At 39.0% G+C, this 20,073-nt stretch overlaps 2 annotated features.

Moving 5' to 3' along the window:
* Positions 15,359-15,987: an enhancer, noted in NCBI's record as "NANOG-H3K27ac-H3K4me1 hESC enhancer chr14:46357483-46358111 (GRCh37/hg19 assembly coordinates)". NCBI's record gives its function as "activates a minimal SCP1, AML or CMV promoter by ChIP-STARR-seq in naive H9 embryonic stem cells {active_cell/tissue: H9 hESC(naive)}" and the evidence as "EXISTENCE:reporter gene assay evidence [ECO:0000049][PMID:30033119]".
* Positions 15,988-16,615: an enhancer, noted in NCBI's record as "NANOG-H3K27ac-H3K4me1 hESC enhancer chr14:46358112-46358739 (GRCh37/hg19 assembly coordinates)". NCBI's record gives its function as "activates a minimal SCP1, AML or CMV promoter by ChIP-STARR-seq in naive H9 embryonic stem cells {active_cell/tissue: H9 hESC(naive)}" and the evidence as "EXISTENCE:reporter gene assay evidence [ECO:0000049][PMID:30033119]".

A 20,073-nucleotide genomic window follows, 5' to 3' on the forward strand; every position in this document is an offset into this window, starting at 1 on the left:
GAAAAACTCATAAGGCCCAGAAAAATATGAGAACAAATCCTCAGTCACCCCTCCCATGCTAGCACCAGTGTCCCTGGGCAATTGTTTAAAGGTATTTTATTTCTTCCTTGTAGTTTTCAGGCTAGCTGATAAATTACCTAAAATGCAATTATAAGTTGCACAAGGTGACCCTCACTCATTATCTTTATGTTCCTGAAATTTTTGATACAAAAATAATGTATAGCCAATCAATAGCTTATGATCAACTTAAGAACTGCTCCTTCTTTTTTTCTTTAAAAAGCCACTTGTGGCCAGGCACAGTGGGTCACACCTGTAATCCCAGGACTTTCGGAGGCCAAGGCGGGTGGATCACAAGGTCAGGAGATAGAGATCATCCTGGCTAACACAGTGAAACCCCCTCTCTACTAAAAATACAAAAAATTAGCTGGGCGTGGTGGGGGGCATCTGTAGTCCCAGCTACTCGGGAGGCTGAGGCAGGAGAATGGTGTGAACCCAGGAGGTGGAGCTGGCAGTGAGCCAAGATTGCGCCACTGCACTCTAGCCTGGGCGACAGAGTGAGACTCCTTCTTAAAAAAAACAAAAACAAAAACAAAAACAAAAAACCACTTGTAACTGCTGTTAATTAGAGGCCTGGCAATTCAGGCCAACTTAAATCTGTGTCTCCTTGGTTGCAGTCCTCAAATTTGGTCCAAATAAACTCTCTATTTATGTTAATTTTGCTTCAGTTTCTTCCTTTATGTTGACAAAGTCCAAAGACTAAATCTCAGTTTTATAGTCTTACAACTTCAGAAGTCTGCTGTTGTGTCTTGTTTTCTAACTGCTTTATATGAATTCTCCAGTGCAATAATACATTTTTTTTTTTTTTTTGAGATGGAGTCTTGCTCTGTCACCCAGGCTGGAGTGCAGTGGCGCGATCTCGGCTCACTGCAATCTCTGCCTCCCGGGTTCACGTCATTCTCCTGCCTCAGCCTCCTGAGTAGCTGGGACTACAGGTGCCTCCCACCATGCCCGGCTAATTTTTTTTGTATTTTTAGTAGAGACAGGATTTCACCATGTTAGCCAGGATGGTCTCGATCTCCTGATCTCATGATCCACCCGCCTCGGCCTCCCAAAGTGCTGGGATTACAGGCATGAGCCACCACACCCAGCCACAATAATGCATTTTAAAAATATCCTCTGGTAGTTGGTGCAATATAAAATGATTTTAAAATTTTCCTAAATAATGTCAGAAGAATTGGATTAAAATATTAAAAACCACCAATGGTGGTTAGCTGACTTAAAATAGAAGAAAATATAACTCCTTACTTTTCAGGTTCCCAAATGTAAACCAAAAATAAAATTCTAAGCCCCTCAACTGACTAAACGACCATCTCTTAGCCAAGGGGACCCCCAGAATAATCTTGAAAACTGAGTTCTTAGTTGCGATGGGATGGGGTGTCAGACACTCTTGTTATACCCCCACCCTTGCTAATCATGATTAGCCTTTCTTCCCTAAGGGCTTAACAAAAACCAGGCCTTTCAAGAGACTCCACCACTGATACCAACCAACAGCCTGACACTACCCTTCCTTTTTTGCCTGATATGGTACCACTGACCAACGTGTTGTTCTGCCCAATCTATAGAGAATGTGCAGTAAGGGATTTTGCATCTTTTGCTTCACCTTTTGACATCATCAGGGTGAAAACTCCACCCTTGGATCATGCTAATGCCACTATTTTTTTATACATGGGACCCATGAAGAGGCATGAAGCTCAGTTGTGCATGTTCACATTTCTTCTTCATAAATATTCATGGTTCCTCCTATAGCTTATTAAATATGTATATTCAGCTATCCTGCTCAGCATATTTGTTCCCTTTGCCTCTTCCTCAAAGTATCTGTTTTTGACTTCTGACCAAAGGCTATGCTTCCCAGTCTGCCAGAATGGCCATTCTGCCAGCTGCAATCCTTTATGAGAAATAAAATTTTCTTTTCCAAATTTATGAATGTCATAATTTTTCAGTCAATACATATTTCTCTAATGGAGTCTTTACAACTGACTTTTGAGCTTTTTACATTAAATTAGCCACTCTGCACTAAAGAATGAATGGGAAGGATGTTTAAAAGGTGTGAAAGTGTCAACTAAATGAGAAAAATCAAGCCATTAAAAAGTTAAAGTTAGTTTTATTCAGAAATCTTACTGAGGACTATAGACTGAGGCCTACAGGCTGGGAGTTTTTTTAGACTGCTTCTGCATGGTACTTCAGCCCACTCCTTATAAGCAGGTGGTGGGGTCTCAGTATTTGCAAAATCACATCAGAGTTGCTCAGAAGTTGCATTAAAGCAGAATTGCATCAACGTTTGGATGTAAGAGTATGTCCTGTTATAGATTACAGAAGAACAATCACTAACCCCGTTAGACATCATGTTATATGTAGAAAAAGGCAAGGACCAGGGTAATTTATCTTTTAAGTAAATTAGTGACTCAGGCAAAAAATGTGGAAGACCACATGTTCTATCCTGCTTTGTCTTCAAAGCATCTTCCAGAAGAGCTGCAGGTCCTCACAGAGTCAGGGGCTTTGTGAAATTATGCCCTTATGCTGGCAAGTGGAAGAACAAACATGGCTTCTTACATTTGCTACTTTGTCTCACAAAGGTATTGTTTATAAATTTAAAATGACAAAACTATTCCCGTTTCCTGGTACTGTGGATATTAGTAAGTTCATTAAAGTCAAGAAAAGATATAAAGATTTTTACCCAATAGTGTTTAATTAAATAAACCTTTATTTATTTTTTGCAAATAAGTAACTTGTTTGCAATATAAATTACATTGTTAAGGTATCTCATGTTAATTATAACAAGTTGTTCATTCACTCATTTAGCAAATATTTTAGTGCTTATAAGGTGCCAAGCACTGAAGATGCATGAATGAACAAAACAAAAAAATCTTCGTATGCAGTGAATTATGTTAGTAGGCATTCAAATTATGTTTAACTTGGGCAAACTTAGAGTTTCTTCCATGTCTCTGTGAAAGGAAAGTAGAAACTTGGGACCCCAATTCACTATACCAAAAGGGGAAAAAAAAAGCTGAAACCTGAGTCATGGAAGAAACTGCCTTTCCTTTTATTTCTACGCAGATAGCTACAGATACAAGGTTAAATACCTCCACAGATAGCTACTCTATATTCACCCTATCTTATGTAAAGTGCTGATTTACTGAGCATGAGAGGAATACATAATTGACTATTCCCCTACCTGTTCTTTTCCCCCTGCAGCATGTGGGTTATCATACATTCCTTCTTTCTTCTCCAGCCCACTTTTCCCCTTTAAATGTTGAAACCCTTGAAATCATCTTTGGAGAAAGGCACAGACCACAGATTTTTTCTCTGATTCCATGCTTCTTTCCTTTTTTTTTTTTCCTTCCAGGCATGCCCTAAGCTTGCCAAAATAAACTTCTAAATTGATTGAGACCTACCTCAGATGGTTTTTGGTTTGCAACTTCTACCACATTTCCTACCTTGTAAACCTACCATGGCAAGTTTAAATGCAAGCATCTGTGGCTTTTAAAGCATGGAATAGGCTATTTGAATAGTTAAATTAAGAAACTGAAGACTTTGCTCTCAAGGAGCTGATATATACCCACTGAAAGGAAGGTAGCCTTTCCATGAGGCTTGGAAACAGTTAAAATATACATGTCAAATTATGGGTACAAGATGCTAATCAACACCTTTGACTTTTAAAAACAGGCAACTAGGTTTCAAATTATCAAATGGTCTAGTAGGACAATGAGTAAATCAAATGACCTTGAGTGCTTACTATAAGGTTGTATTTTTTTCATTTGCCTTGCACTGCCTTGGAAAACAAAGCTTCAGATAGCATTTTTACTTGCTCTCAGGCAAAGGACTCATATTTAAAACAGTTGAAGATTTTATAATGATGGAATGATGGTAGCCTTCTCTGCATAACAATATAGTAAATATGGTAGATTCTTCATATTTACAGATTTAAGATTCATGGTTTCAACTGTTTGCCAGTGATGCAGAAAATGCTTGGTCTTTTTAGTAAAAGAATTTGAGTCAGGTTCTCTGTGACACTAGTACCTGAAGAGAATCACTCAACTAGTGAGTATGTCTAGCTGGCACTCAGAATCAATGGTTTTGTCAGAGGCGTCCAAACCAGAGCAACTCCATATTGAATAGGGGCTGGGTAAAATGAGGCTGAGATCTACTTGGCTGCATTCCCAGGTGGTTAGGCATTCTAAGTCCCAGGGGAGATAGGAGGTCAGCATAAGACACAGGTCATAAAGACCTTGCTGATAAAACTGGTTTCAGTAAAGAAGCCAGCCAAAACCTATCAAAACCAAGATGGTGTCAAGAGTGAACTCTGGTCATCCACACTGCTACACTTCCACCAGTGCCGTGACAGTTTACATATGCCATGGCAATGTCAGGAAGTTGCCCTATATGGTCTAAAAACAGAAGGCATGAATAATTCACCCCTTGTTTAGCATATAATAAAAAAACCATAAAAATGGGCAATCAGCAGCCCTCGGGGGTCTACGGAGTAGCCATTCTTTTATCCCTCTACTTTCTTAACAAACTTGCCATCACTTTACTCTATGGACTCGCCCTGAATTCTTACTTGTGCGAGATCAAAGAACCCTCTCTTGGGGTCTGGATCCAGACCCCTTTCCGGTAACAGTTTTGTTTGTCTAACACTTTCCTAAAATGAAACCAGCTTGGCTATTTCATGAATATTCTCCACTAACTAAGAGAGAAAACAGTGTCAAAATTGGAGTAGATATATTGCAATGTGAGATGTGCCTAGGAAATACATGAATGGTTGGAAAGATGATTTAGTAGAAAGAAGCAGTTTGCATAATACCATATAATTACAGATTTGGAGATTTGCTAAGGACTAGGCATATTTTTACAACATTACACAAAACCTATTGTTTGGAGGCTATTCTTTTTCCCTTGTTAATATTAAATGCTGAGTGATTTAGATAAGTATTTTTGTATTTTAATTTTTAAGCATATTTACTGTTATATCATGAGGGTAGCTATTAAAAGTAGGAAACTCTTACTCCTAATTTTCTTGTTACTTATTTTATTTATGTAACTTCTCCTTTGAAGTATAGGAAAATGAAAAAAATTATTTCAAACATTTAGATTGTGTTTACGTTTTAGTCAATATTCAGAACATCTCCATTTCTTTTTCCGGCCACATCACCAGTAGCATTTGCAGCAACAGACTGTACTGACAGTTTAGGAAGAAAAACTCAAGGAAAAAAGCATATATTGAGTCCTTACTAGACTGCATCTCAGTGTACTTTTAAAATTGCCTTCTAGTAGCTTGCCATCTTGCTAGAGAGGGAGAATTTATGTTCGTCCGACAGTTAGTAAAAAGATCTAAGAATGATCAGTTAAATATAACCAAGCACCAAAATGTATGACAAATACAACAAAAGCCCTTTGTTCAGGGAAGGTTTAAGGGAGGAAGTGAACTTGAGGATAGATCTTGAAGGCCTAGTTCTTTTCTAGAACTCGATAAATGAAATAGAGCCAATGGGCCATAGAATCCATATGCAAAACTGTAAGGACAGGAAGAAGTGTGGTTTTTGTAAAAAAACTAAGGAAGTCAGCCAGGCTTTAGAGAAAGGTTCAGGAGAGGGAATTTTCAACATGGGGCTTGATGATTTCTGACCTGCCATGTATATCCTTGTTTATATCAATTAGCCTATGGTAAGATTGGTTTCATTATATAGTGAATTTTGCTTGAAATCACAGTTTCCAAGATCATATTCAGGATGTTAGGTGAGAACTTCCTGTATAAGATTTTTTTTTTTTTTTTGGCATTGCCTGGTTAACTTATAAAGACCTTGGTAATTGTCTGTATTTAATTTATGAAATACTTATTTTGGGGAATCACAAGGAAGGAGCTCTCTGAAGACAGTAATATTAAATAACAGAACTATGAATAGGTAGTATGATATTTACTCAGAAAAAAATAAATCTAGGACATAAGTTAAGAAGAATAGTTATCAACTGACAAGATTATATAAAGACTAGGGAAGTGTTTTAGAGGACAAAATCTTTGTCCTTACTCCCTACAGAGAATCCCTTATGTTCTAAAATATCTGTGTGACAGAAAGTCATTTGAATATTGCTTTATAAAACTTCCTAAATATCTCCTAAAGTATTTATTCAAATATGTATATAGGATGTTTCCAAAAAATGTTTAATGACATGAGAAAATGATCATAATATGAATGGAAAATGAAAACAAATTTGTAAATACAATAGCATTTTCATTCTGTACTTAGTTAAACAATGCTTTTGGGGGCTCTTAAATTATAATTTCTTAATTTTTTTCTCTGCACATATATATACTTTCCAAATTCTTAACATTAAACATTTAATCTTTTATACTTGCGGAGGAGGAGATGGCCTACTTAGAGTTTTGGCATTTTTTTTTTTTTTTTTTTTTGGCACAGTCTTGCCTGTCACCCAGGCTGGAGAGCAATGGCACAATCTCAGCTCACTGCAATCTCTGCCTCCTGGGCTCAGGCAATTCTCCTGCCTCAGCCTCCTGAGTAGCTGGGATTACAGATGTGTGCCACCATGCCCGGCTAATTTTTGTATTTTTTTAGTACATACTGGGTTTCACCATGTTGGCCAGGCTGGTCTTGAATTCCTGACCTTGTAATCTGCCCGCTTCGGCCTTCCAAAGTGCTAGATTACAGGTGTGAGCCACTGGGCCTGGCCTGGCTTTTGTTTTTTTAATTGAAGTTTTGGTATTTTTTCTCAAAGATTTGTATGAATATTCTGTACATCAAGAAAAGTAATCCTTGAATGTCATACTAGTTGATTGACTTAGTTTTGTATTGTAAAGTGTTGAGAATAATCTTTAATCACCCGGACAATTAATCTCTTGCAAGTTCAGGAGACTTCGTGTTCATTCTGATTATAATATATGTGGTGTCGAGTTTCATTAAGATGGGCAGTTTTCATGGTCCATCTTAATGGAAATGTAGATCTGTGTTAGTTTAAGTTTATGATTTATATCTGAAAGCAAAACAGGATGAATGCATTAAAATTATAAGATAACACATGGCTGTCAATCTAGCAACATGTGGTACTAGGGATGAAGAGAAGTATAAATCGTTATACTTATGTTACAAATGCTGTTGATACAGACAGGAGGCAGGGAAATATTAGGTAGAAAAGGTCCGGGTCCCTGGTGAGGGATCCACCCTCAAGCGTGGACCCGTGGCCCTAAATGAGAAATTCACATCCCCATTTTCCCACCTGAATGTTGCCTTTTCCAAAGCACCCTGGCATATCCTGCCTCAAACCCTGTATGCTTAGAAACCCCAAGCTCCACTGCTGGGGGATGGAGAGCAGCATAGCAGAAAAGGAAAGAAGAGAAGCAGTCGGACATCAGAGAAAAGCAGCTTGACTTCAGAGCGACGGCTTGACGGTGGGACTTTGGAGGAGAGTTCAGCCAGGGACAGCTGAACTCCTGGGGAAGATTATCTTCCCACTCCATCCCCCTTCCAGTTCCCCTTTCTGCTGAGAGCCACCTCCACTGCTCAATAAAATCCTCTGCATACGCCACCCTTCAATTTGTTCACATAGCCTCATTCTTCCTGGACACCAGACAAGGACCCGGGTACGGATGCAAGAGACTGTCACACTGATGCTCCACTGATCTGTTTAACGCTTAAGCCGTCCATAGATGTTAAAGCTAAAGGAGTGCACTATAACACAGGCCCTCTAGGGCTCCAGGGGTCATGGGCAACCCATCAATGCTGCCACAGGCCGGTAGGGGTTCATTCCTGCCAGTGCCCAAAGGCTCTCACCCTGGCTCCTGCACCTGCTCACCTGCGTGCTCCTTCTCCTGCAAGGGGTTTGAGCACCATGGGCTGAGTAAGTGAGCCACCCCTTCAGAAGGCCAGCAAAGGAGTCATGGGAAATATCTCTTGATACAGATTGAATAAATGGTATTTTATAAAGATGTTTGCATATCTTCTTTCTGTTTAGCCATTGTTAACATTAGGTATGTAATCATCAATTTTCAATGGGTGGATGGAAAACATTAAAAATCCAGGTTCCTGGTTGTTTTATCAAAAAAGTTAAAAAATAACAGTTATAGTTCACTTTAATAGGTGAATGCTAGGTATTCCTGAGGATTAGTTGGCTCTGAGTATAGTGTTTATGAAACATGTACAAGGTTGTTCACATAACAAGAACTTAAAGGTGTGAACTTTATGAGCTTTGGTGAACAGTTTAAACAATATATATATATATAATATATATTATATATATACAGACTGTAAGAATGAACATGAATAATTCTAGCATTGATGGAGAGAAAACATAAAACTTACTGTTGAGATCCTACTGAATTTTTGCAGGGAATGTGAAATGGCTTCCATGTATTTTTAATGTTTTTATAATTCATATTTGTTTTAGGGATTTTGGCAATAGCGTAGACACATCTAAAAAAACACAGAAACCCACGGTAACCTAATTAGTATGCTTTAATTACTCTTGGGAGTACAGATTGAAAATTGGACACATTTTGAGTTCCAATTCATTCTACTTTATGAGAATTGGTGTCCTGTGTAGAAAAACTTGGTGCTATTGTATAATTCAGCTACTTTCAAAAAAATGCAAGGGGATATAAGATTATGATTCTACAGTTAATGTTTTGCACGACCCTAGAAAAGCTGTGTAAGAATTATGTGAAAGAAAAAACATCATACTTTATCTTTTCAGATTGCGTGATATAGTACATGTCATTTACTCTATCGACTTTATTTTTGTTATCTTTAAAGTGATGACACTTATTTTACAGGGGTTCTTGCTAGGATTAAATAAAACGTATAAAGGTCTAGGACAGTATGTGGTATTTTACCGATTGAGTAAATGGTATTTTATAAAGATGTTTGCATATCTTCTTTCTGTTTAGCCATATGTTTAACCTGGTTTCCATGAACAATTACAGAGGTTTTCCACTTACAGAACTTCCTAAATTCTCTGTAAAATATTGTGTGTGTGCTTATTTCTGGAGATGCTATTTAACTTTCATCAGATTAAAAACTTGTATATTAAAGCCCTTGATTATACAAACATACATGTTAAACTTTGTTCAATTTTACAGCCAATTTATCTTAGTGTATAGATTAATAATTTAATTTTAGGCAACTTAATGAAATGACTATGTGAACTGGAAGCTGAACCTGAGCATGTGGCAAAACATTGCAAAAGGAACCAAGAGAAAACTGAACTATTTAGTCCCTAAACAGATTTTTTAAAATGTCAATAGTAAAATACATTTTCATCAAACTATCTCAGCCTCAATTGAATTGATTGTTTTGTGCAAAATGATACCAAACAAAACCTTTTCTATGGCTATAAAAACAAAGAAAATTTTCAACATTTCATTTTACGGGCACATGTAATAAAATGTGAAATTTATTTAAAAATATTTTATCTTGCTTAGTGTTAATACAGGTTGGCCATCCCTAATTGGAAAATCAGAAATTTTAAATGCCCCCCAAAATCAGAAATTTGAAATGCTCCAAAATCCAAAACTTCTTGAGCACCAACATGACACTACAAGTGGAAAATTTCAGACATAAGGACTTAACACAAACTGCTTCGTGTACAAAATTATTAAAAACATTGTATAAAATTACTTTCAAGCTATTGGTATAAGTTGTACATGAAACATAAATGAATGTCATGTTTAGACTTGGGTCTCATCCTCAAGATATCTCATTATATGTATTTGAATATTCTAAAATTAAAAAAATAAACACTTCTGGTCCCTAGCTTTTCAGATAAGGGATACTCAAACTATATAAAGGGGAACTATTTTTTCTTAACTGTTTAAACTGAGATCTTTGATTTTTTGATCTTTAGAGGACTCTTATGCATTATAATTTTGAAACTGAAGAGTAGGCTAAATATTTGCTACTTTAAATAAAATAATTTGACTTATAATTTAAACTCTTCTATTAGTTACATTTGTATATTTTTAAAAATGCAAACACTCAAAGGAAAAAAAATCATGAGATGAGAGGTAACTAAAGTTTTATTTTAAAAAATTAGAAAGTAGAGCTACTCCATGACTTTACCTTGGAAATAATTTCTGCAGTGCTCTTGAGACATTAATTCAGAGATGTGATGATGAAATTCATGGCAGAAATTTAACTGAAAACTGAAGCTGCATCAAATTTCATAGAATTATTTGTTGTTTTAAAATAAATAATTTAAAAATCTTATTTTCACTAATTGGAATATTAATTGGTCATTGTTCTTTTTTTTATTATTATACTTTAAGTTTTAGGGTACATGTGCATATTGTGCAGGTTAGTTACATATGTATACATGTGCCATGCTGGTGTGCTGCACCCACTAACTCGTCATCTAGCATTAGGTATATCTCCCAATGCTATCCCTCCCCACTCCCCCCACCCCACAACAGTCCCCAGAGTGTGATATTCCCCTTCCTGTGTCCATGTGATCTCATTGTTCAATCCCCACCTATGAGTGAGAATATGCGGTGTTTGGTTTTTTCTTCTTGCGATAGTTTACTGAGAATGATGATTTCCAATTTCATCCATGTCCCTACAAAGGACATGAACTCATCATTTTTTATGGCTGCATAGTATTCCATTGTGTATATGTGCCACATTTTCTTAATCCAGTCTATCATTGTTGGACATTTGGGTTGGTTCCAAGTCTTTGCTATCATGAATGATGCCGCAATAAACATACGTGTGCATGTGTCTTTATAGCAGCATGATTTATATTCCTTTGGGTATATACCCAGTAATGGGATGGCTGGGTCAAATGGTATTTCCAGTTCTAGATCCCTGAGGAATCGCCACACTGACTTCCACAATGGTTGAATTAGTTTACAGTCCCACCAACAGTGTAAAAGTGTTCCTATTTCTCCACATCCTCTCCAGCACCTGTTGTTTCCTGACTTTTTAATGACTGCCATTCTAACTGGTATGAGATGGTATCTCATTGTGGTTTTGATTTGCATTTCTCTGATGGCCAGTGATGATGAGCATTTTTTCATGTGTTTTTTGGCTGCATAAATGTCTTCTTTTGAGAAGTGTCTGTTCATGTCCTTTGCCCACTTTTTGATGGGGTTGTTTGTTTTTTTCTTGTAAATTTGTTGGAGTTCATTGTAGATTCTGGATATTAGCCCTTTGTCAGATGAGTAGGTTGCGAAAATTTTCTCCCATTTTGTAGGTTGCCTGTTTACTCTGATGGTAGTTTCTTTTGCTGTGCAGAAGCTCTTTAGTTTAATTAGATCCCATTTGTCAATTTTGGCTTTTGTTACCATTGCTTTTGGTGTTTTAGACATGAAGTCCTTGCCCATGCCTATCTCCTGAATGGTAATGCCTAGGTTTTCTTCTAGGGTTTTTATGGTTTTAGGTCTAACGTTTAAGTCTTTAATCCATCTTGAATTGATTTTTGTATAAGGTGTAAGGAAGGGATCCAGTTTCAGCTTTCTACATATGGCTAGCCAGTTTTCCCAGCACCATTTATTAAATAGGGAATCCTTTCCCCATTGCTTGTTTTTCTCAGGTTTGTCAAAGATCAGATAGTTGTAGATATGTGGCGTTATTTCTGAGGGCTCTGTTCTGTTCCATTGATCTATATCTCTGTTTTGGTACCAGTACCATGCTGTTTTGGTTACTGTAGCCTTGTAGTATAGTTTGAAGTCAGGTAGTGTGATGCCTCCAGGTTTGTTCTTTTGGCTTAGGATTGACTTGGTGATGCGGGCTCTTTTTTGGTTCCATATGAACTTTAAAGTAGTTTTTTTCCAATTCTGTGAAGAAAGGCATTGGTAGCTTGATGGGGATGGCATTGAATCTGTAAATTACCTTGGGCAGTATGGCCATTTTCACGGTATTGATTCTTCCTACCCATGAGCATGGAATGTTCTTCCATTTGTTTGTATCCTCTTTTATTTCATTGAGCAGTGGTTTGTAGTTCTCCTTGAAGAGGTCCTTCACATCCCTTGTAAGTTGGATTCCTAGGTATTTTATTCTCTTTGAAGCAATTGTGAATGGGAGTTCACTCATGATTTGGCTCTCTGTTTGTCTGTTGTTGGTGTATAAGAATGCTTGTGATTTTTGTACATTGATTTTGTATCCTGAGACTTTGCTGAAGTTGCTTATCAGCTTAAGGAGATTTTGGGCTGAGACAATGGGGTTTTCTAGATATACAATCATGTCTTCTGCAAACAGGGACAATTTGATTTCCTCTTTTCCTAATTGAATACCCTTTATTTCCTTCTCCTGCCTAATTGTCCTGGCCAGAACTTCCAACACTATGTTGAATAGGAGTGGTGAGAGAGGGCATCCCTGTCTTGTGCCAGTTTTCAAAGGGAATGCTTCCAGTTTTTGCCCATTCAGTATGATATTGGCTGTGGGTTTGTCATAGATAGCTCTTATTATTTTGAAATATATCCCATCAATACCTAATTTATTGAGAGTTTTTAGCATGAAGGGTTGTTGAATTTTCTCAAAGGCTTTTTCTGCATCTATTGAGATAATCATGTGGTTTTTGTCTTTCGCTCTGTTTATATGCTGGATTACATTTATTGATTTGCATATATTGAACCAGCCTTGCATCCCAGAGATGAAGCCCACTTAATCATGGTGGGTAAGCTTTTTGATGTGCTGCTGGATTCGGTTTGCCAGTATTTTATTGAGGATTTTTGCATCAATGTTCATCAAGGATATTGGTCTAAAATTCTCTTTGTTTGTTGTGTCTCTGCCTGGCTTTGGTATCAGAATGATGCTGGCCTCATAAAATGATTTAGGGAGGATTCCCTCTTTTTGTATTGATTGGAATAGTTTCAGAAGGAATGGTACCAGTTCCTCCTTGTACCTCTGGTAGAATTCGGCTGTGAATCCATCTGGTCCTGGACTCTTTTTAGTTGGTAAGCTATTGATTATTGCCACAATTTCAGATCCTGTTATTGGTCTATTCAGTGATTCAACTTCTTCCTGGTTTAGTCTTAGGAGAGTGTATGTGTCAAGGAATTTATGCATTTCTTCTAGATTTTCTAGTTTATTTGCGTAGAGGTGTTTGTAGTATTCTCTGATGGTAGTTTGTATTTCTGTGGGATCGGTGGTGATATCCCCTTTATCATTTTGTATTGCGTCTATTTGATTTTTCTCTCTTTCTTTCTTTATTAGTCTTGCTAGCAGTCTATCAATTTTGTTGATCCTTTCAAAAAACCAGCTCCTGGATTCATTAATTTTTTGAAGGGTTTTTTGTGTCTCTATTTCCTTCAGTTCTGCTCTGATTTTAGTTATTTCTTGACTTCTGCTAGCTTTTGAATGTGTTTGCTCTTGCTTTTCTAGTTCTTTTAATTGTGATGTTAGGGTGTCAATTTTGGATCTTTCCTGCTTTCTCTTGTGGGCATTTAGTGGTATAAATTTCCCTCTACACACTGCTTTGAATGCGTCCCAGAGATTCTGGTATGTTGTGTCTTTGTTCTCGTTGGTTTCAAAGAACATCTTTATTTCTGCCTTCATTTCGTTATGTACCCAGTAGTCATTCAGGAGCAGGTTGTTCTGTTTCCATGTAGTTGAGCGGTTTTGAGTGAGATTCTTAATCCTGAGTTCTAGTTTGATTGCACTGTGGTCTGAGAGATAGTTTGTTATAATTTCTGTTCTTTTACATTTGCTGAGGAGAGCTTTATTCCAAGTATGTGGTCAATTTTGGAATAGGTGTGGTGTGGTGCTGAAAAAAATGTATATTCTGTTGATTTGGGGTGGAAAGTTCTGTAGATGTCTATTAGGTCCACTTGGTGCAGAGCTGAGTTCAATTCCTGGGTATCCTTGTTGACTTTCTGTCTCGTTGATCTGTCTAATGTTGACAGTGGGGTGTTAAAGTCTCCCATTACTAATGTGTGGGAGTCTAAGTCTCTTTGTAGGTCACTCAGGACTTGCTTTATGAATCTGGGTGCTCCTGTATTGGGTGCATATATATTTAGGATAGTTAGCTCTTCTTGTTGAATTGATCCCTTTCCCATTATGTAATGGCCTTCTTTGTCTCTTTTGATCTTTGTTGGTTTAAAGTCTGTTTTATCAGAGACTAGGATTGCAACCCCTGCCTTTTTTTGTTTTCCATTTGCTTGGTAGATCTTCCTCCATCCTTTTATTTTGAGCCTATGTGTGTCTCTGCACGTGAGATTGGTTTCCTGAATACAGCACACTGATGGGTCTTGACTCTTTATCCAATTTGCCAGTCTGTGTCTTTTAATTGGAGCATTTAGTCCATTTACATTTAAAGTTAATATTGTTATGTGTGAATTTGATCCTGTCATTATGATGTTAGCTGGTGATTTTGCTCATTAGTTGATGCAGTTTCTTCCTAGTCTCGATGGTCTTTACATTTTGGCATGATTTTGCAGCACCTGGTACCGGTTGTTCCTTTCCATATTTAGCACTTCCTTCAGGAGCTCTTTTAGGACAGGCCTGGTGGTGACAAAATCTCTCAGCATTTGCTTGTCTGTAAAGTATTTTATTTCTCCTTCACTTATGAAGCTTAGTTTGGCTGGATATGAAATTCTGGGTTGAAAATTCTTTTCTTTAAGAATGTTGAATATTGGCCCCCACTCTCTTCTGGCTTGTAGGGTTTCTGCCAAGAGATCCGCTGTTAGTCTGATGGGCTTCCCTTTGAGGGTAACCTGACCTTTCTCTCTGGCTGCCCTTAACATTTTTTCCTTCACTTCAACTTTGGTTAATCTGACAATTATGTGTCTTGGAGTTGCTCTTCTTGAGGAGTATCTTTGTGGCGTTCTCTGTATTTCCTGAATCTGAACATTGGCCTGCCTTGCTTGATTGGGGAAGTTCTCCTGGATAATATCCTGCAGAGTGTTTTCCAACTTGATTCCATTCTCCCCATCACTTTCAGGTACACCAATCAGACGTAGATTTGGTCTTTTCACATAGTCCCATATTTCTTGGAGGCTTTGCTCATTTCTTTTTATTCTTTTTTCTCTAAACTTCCCTTCTTGCTTCATTTCATTCATTTCATCTTCCATTGCTGATACCCTTTCTTCCAGTTGATCGCATCGGCTCCTGAGGCTTCTGCATTCTTCATGTAGTTCTCGAGCCTTGGTTTTCAGCTCCATCAGCTCCTTTAATCACTTCTGTGTATTGGTTATTCTAGTTATACATTCTTCTAAATTTTTTTCAAAGTTTTGAACTTCTTTGCCTTTGGTTTGAATGTCCTCCCGTAGCTCATAGTAATTTGATCATCTGACACCTTCTTCTCTCAGCTCATCAAAGTCATTCTCCATCCAGCTTGGTTCCATTGCTGGTGAGGAACTGCGTTCCTTTGGAGGAGGAGAGGCACTCTGCTTTTTAGAGTTTCCAGTTTTTCTGTTCTGCTTTTTCCCCATCTTTGTGGTTTTATCTACTTTTGGTCTTTGATGATGGTGATGTACAGATGGGTGTTTGGTGTGGATGTCCTTTCTGTTTCTTAGTTTTCCTTCTAACAGACAGGACCCTCAGCTGCAGGTCTGTTGCAATACCCTGCCGTGTGAGGTGTCACTGTGCGCCTGCTGGGGGGGTGCCTCCCAGTTAGGCTGCTCGGGGGTCGGGTCAGGGACCCACTTGAGGAGGCAGTCTGCCCGTTCTCAGATCTCCAGCTGCGTGTGCTGGGAGAACCACTGCTCTCTTCAAAGCTGCAGACAGGGACATTTAAGTCTGCAGAAGTTACTGCTGTCTTTTTGTTTGTCTGTGCCCTGCCCCCAGAGGTGGAGCCTACAGAGGCAGGCAGACCTCTTTGAGCTGTGGTGGGTTCCACCCAGTTCGAGCTTCCCAGCTGCTTTGTTTACCTAATCAAGCCTGGGCAATGGCGGGCGCCCCTCCCCCAGCCTCGCTGCCGCCTTGCAGTTTGATCTCAGACTGCTGTGCTAGCAATCAGCGAGACGCCCTGGGCGTAGGACCCTCGGAGCCAGGTGCGGGATATAAGCTTGTTGTGCGCCGTTTTTTAAATCCGTCGGAAAAGCGCAGTATTCGGTTGGGAGTGACCTGATTTTCCAGTTGCTGTCAGTCACCCCTTTCTTTGACTCGGAAAGGGAACTCCCTGACCCCTTGCGCTTCCCAAGTGAGGCAATGCCTCGCCTTGCTTCCACTTGCGCACGGTGCGCGCACCCACTGGACCTGCGCCCACTGTCTGGCACTCTCTAGTGAGATGAACCCGGTACCTCAGATGGAAATGCAGAAATCACCCGTCTTCTGCGTCGCTAACGCTGGGAGCTGTAGACCTGAGCTGTTCCTATTTGGCCATCTTGGCTCCTCCCCTGGTCATGTTTTTATTTTTACTTTTATCAAGGACTTATTATGTGCTAGCATTGGTGCTAATGTTTTGTATATATAGATACATTTAATCTTTATAACAATGAAGTCTTATTTCCCATTTTATAAACAAGAAAACTAAACATTTTTATTTATCCGTCATCTAATATTACTGAAAACATGCTATGATACAGGCAGTTTTTGGCTCTAAGGATAAAATAATAAATAAAAAATGTCCTGCTATCTTGGAACTTAAATTGGAGAGAGAGAGGAAATAAAGAAATCAATATGGTGTTAGGAATATAAAGACAATATAAAACAGGGTAATGTGGTTAGAGGGTGGTAAGATGAGGGATAGGATAATCTGGAGATTCTAATTTAGGTATAATTGAGGGAGACCTGTCTGATTATTTGCTATTTCAGTCTGAACAAAAACAGGGAGAGATCCAGGATGATATTTGTGGAAATAACATTCTAGATAGAAGGAATAAAATAAATGCAATGGTTGTGAAAAAGTAATTTTCTTCAGACAGAAAGATCGATTTTGTTGGAAAGGCCTTATTTGGCGTGAGAGTTATAGGAAAAAAATCCAAGAGGGAACCAAGGATGAGGAAAGCACAGGAAAGGGATATTCTGTGACATCTCTTTAGGCATTGGTGAAGACACTGATTCTGAATGGGATGGAAGCCTCTAGAAGATTTTGAGCATAGCAGAGACACGTTCTGATTTACATTTTAAAATTGTCATTCATATTGAGTAGTAGGCAATAGTGGAAGTGAGAGCCTGCTAAGAAGAAGTTCAATAGTGTAGGCAAGAGATTAGACAGATAATAATGAAAATGAGCATGTTTGGGGATGAAATTAGATCAAGACTTCTGTTTAGAGTACAGTAAGTATGAAGTTTTTGTTAGATATTTAAGTGCAGATGTCAAGTTAGCAGTTGAAAATAGAGACTAGGTCCCAGGGGAAAGATCATACTGAAAGCCACGGAACTGGATAATATTAATGGACAGTGTGTGCAGATACATAAAAGAAGTATGGAGAAAATGCAAATTCAAGAAGATGTGGAAATGTTGCAGACAGTAAGTAGGAGTGGAGAGAGAGAAAGAGAGAGAGAGAGAAAGTATCCCGATAGCCAAATAAAGGAAGTATTTTAGGAGCAAAAAAGTAATTAAAATGTGGATTTTGATTTTTATCAGAGAAAGTGAGGCTAATGATGGACTATGAAGTCTAAAGAGGGTAAGAATACAAAAAATATTATGGGAGAGATGATGGAGGAAAGAGAAATGTCAATAAACCCTAGGTCTCAGTCAGTTTGCAAAAAAATTGTTGGAGTTGCAATAAAGATAATCTAACAATATCCTAGTTTTGGAGAGTGGAATATTAGAAACTCAGACTGTGGAGTGAGTGTAGTTATTGACAATAATGATTTGTAGTTACTAGACTCTAATATGATGGCTCTCAAAGTGTAGTCACTGAACCAGCAGTATTGGCATCACCAGGGAACTTAAGAAATGCACATTCTCAGGCCCTACTCTGGACTTACTGATTCCTAAACTTCGGGGGTGGATCCAGCAACCTATATTTTTAACTAGGTGGTTATGATTCTGGCTGTACTTTGAAAACTGTTCCAATATATGATCATGGGAGCATGTAGTATAAGTGAGATGTCAGATAAGCAATTTTGTTTGATAAGTGAGATGGTTTGACTCGGTGTCCCTACTGAAACCTCAGCTGGGATTATAATCCCCACATGTGGAGGGAGGGACCTTGTAGAAGGTGATTGGATCATGGGGGTGGTTTCCCCGTTGCTGTTCTCGTGATAGTAAGTTCTCACGAGATTTGATGGTTTAAAAGAGTATGGCTTTCCCTCCCTCTCTCTCCTGCTCCTCCATTGTTAAGACGTGTGCGCTTTTCCTTCACCTTCCACCATAATTGTAAGTTTCCTGAGACCTCCCTGTTATGCTTCCTAAGCCTGCAGAACTGTGAGTCAATTAAACAACTTTATAAATTACCCAGTTTTAGGTATGTTTTTATAGCAGTGGAAGAATGGACTAACACAGTAAGGTAAAAGCTAAAGGAAATAAGAGTATGCTGAAATCTTCAAGAACTATTTTAGGAGTATTAATATAAAGAGTAATAGGGGCCATAGCTTCAGGAAGGAGAGGGAATGTCTTGGAGCTTTTAGATGTCTAAAATAAGGAGGAATCTCACAAGGATCCAGAGACTTTCAGGGAAAAGTCTGCAACAATAGCGTGCAAACAATGACAAGCAAAAGTTACCTGTAAGGAAAATGGATGTGTTTTGGTGAAGAATAGGCCAAGGCAGACATCCGGGTCAGCGTGACTCAGTGCGTTTGGAGTGCTGGCACACAACTCCACTTGTTATATAACCTGTTTGTGTAAGTTCATACTTGAATCTGAGCCACCATTGCCTGTAAAAAGGTAATAACTGCCCTGCTAATGCTGTGCACAAGGCTCGCACCCAGAAAGAATGAAGCTGCCGACCCTGTAAGGGAGAGCCAGTTGCCTTGAAGGCAGGCAGCGGGAGTCAGGAACTAGCAAGAGCGCCGGGGAGTGCAGCTGTAAATGTGGGAGTGGCAGGAGCCGCAGAGCCGGTTGCTAAGAGGGGCTGCAGCTGGAGCAGGCAGCCAAGACAAAAGCTGACAGAGAGAGCGCACAATAAAAGCCATATTTCACCTGCCCACGCCCCATCGAGTGTTCTTTCAGCTATCTGCCACCTGTCCACCCACTCCCCTCGGTCCTCCGCATGGGCTGGAACCTGACACTTGGTGTGACGTTACCCTACCCGACTTTTACACCAGTGGTACTTGGGGTGTGGGAGAGAAAATAGTAAGGTCCAAAGAAAAGTGGGTTTTCTTATGAGAATCAGGTTTCAGAGCAAACAGGTGAGAGAATAGTCAAGCGTTGTTGACGACTCAGGTGATTTTGCTGATGACAGACTGGGAATTTCCTAGGGTAAAGAGAGTATGTGGGGATGAGAGGAGTGGGAAAATGTGTCAGACAAGGGATTGTATGGAACTGTAGCACAGGGATCACAGTTCAGAGGGTCTTAGAGTCATAGTGCTCTGGTAGTTGCTCTGGTAGTTCCCGATGGCATCCAGGGGCTAGGAACCAGTCTTGTTAGAGTTCAGGAAGGGATAATCAGAACTAATGAGGACCTCCTAAGTCAGTAGTTCTCACTCTTGGCTGTTTAGAATCAGCAGGGGGAACTTCCAGAACTCCCCAATGCCCAGGCAATGCCCATACCAATTAAATCATAATTTCTTGGGGTGGGCCCCAAACATCAGCATTTTTAAAAGCTCCCCAGGTGATTCCAATGTGCAGCCAAAGCTGAGAATCAGTTTTCTATTTTGTGAAGCTAAAAAAAGCAGCAAGAAATTTTGACTCTGGGGCCTGGGATCTGCGTTATAAGATATACTATCTCTAACACTGTCTGCATGTAGGGTAGAAGAAGTCAGGTTGCTCTGCTCCTGGGTCAAATCATCTAACGAGCTAAGGCCTATTAGAAAAGCAAACCAAATCACACAAAACAGTTCAGTGGATGTGTTTGTGTCAGGCAGTAAAAAGTGAAAAAAGTTTCTTTCCCAAGAGCTGAACAATCACAGCTTGATGCTCTGTTCTGCAGGACAGCAGGTCACTGCTGAACCGGCAATTGATTCTATATACATTGCTCTGAATGCACCTTAAGAACTTTTACTCTTTCAGAAGAACTTCAGGTGA

The sequence above is a fragment of the Homo sapiens genome, chromosome 14 (assembly GCF_000001405.40).
Source record: "Homo sapiens chromosome 14, GRCh38.p14 Primary Assembly".
NCBI lineage: Eukaryota > Metazoa > Chordata > Mammalia > Primates > Hominidae > Homo > Homo sapiens.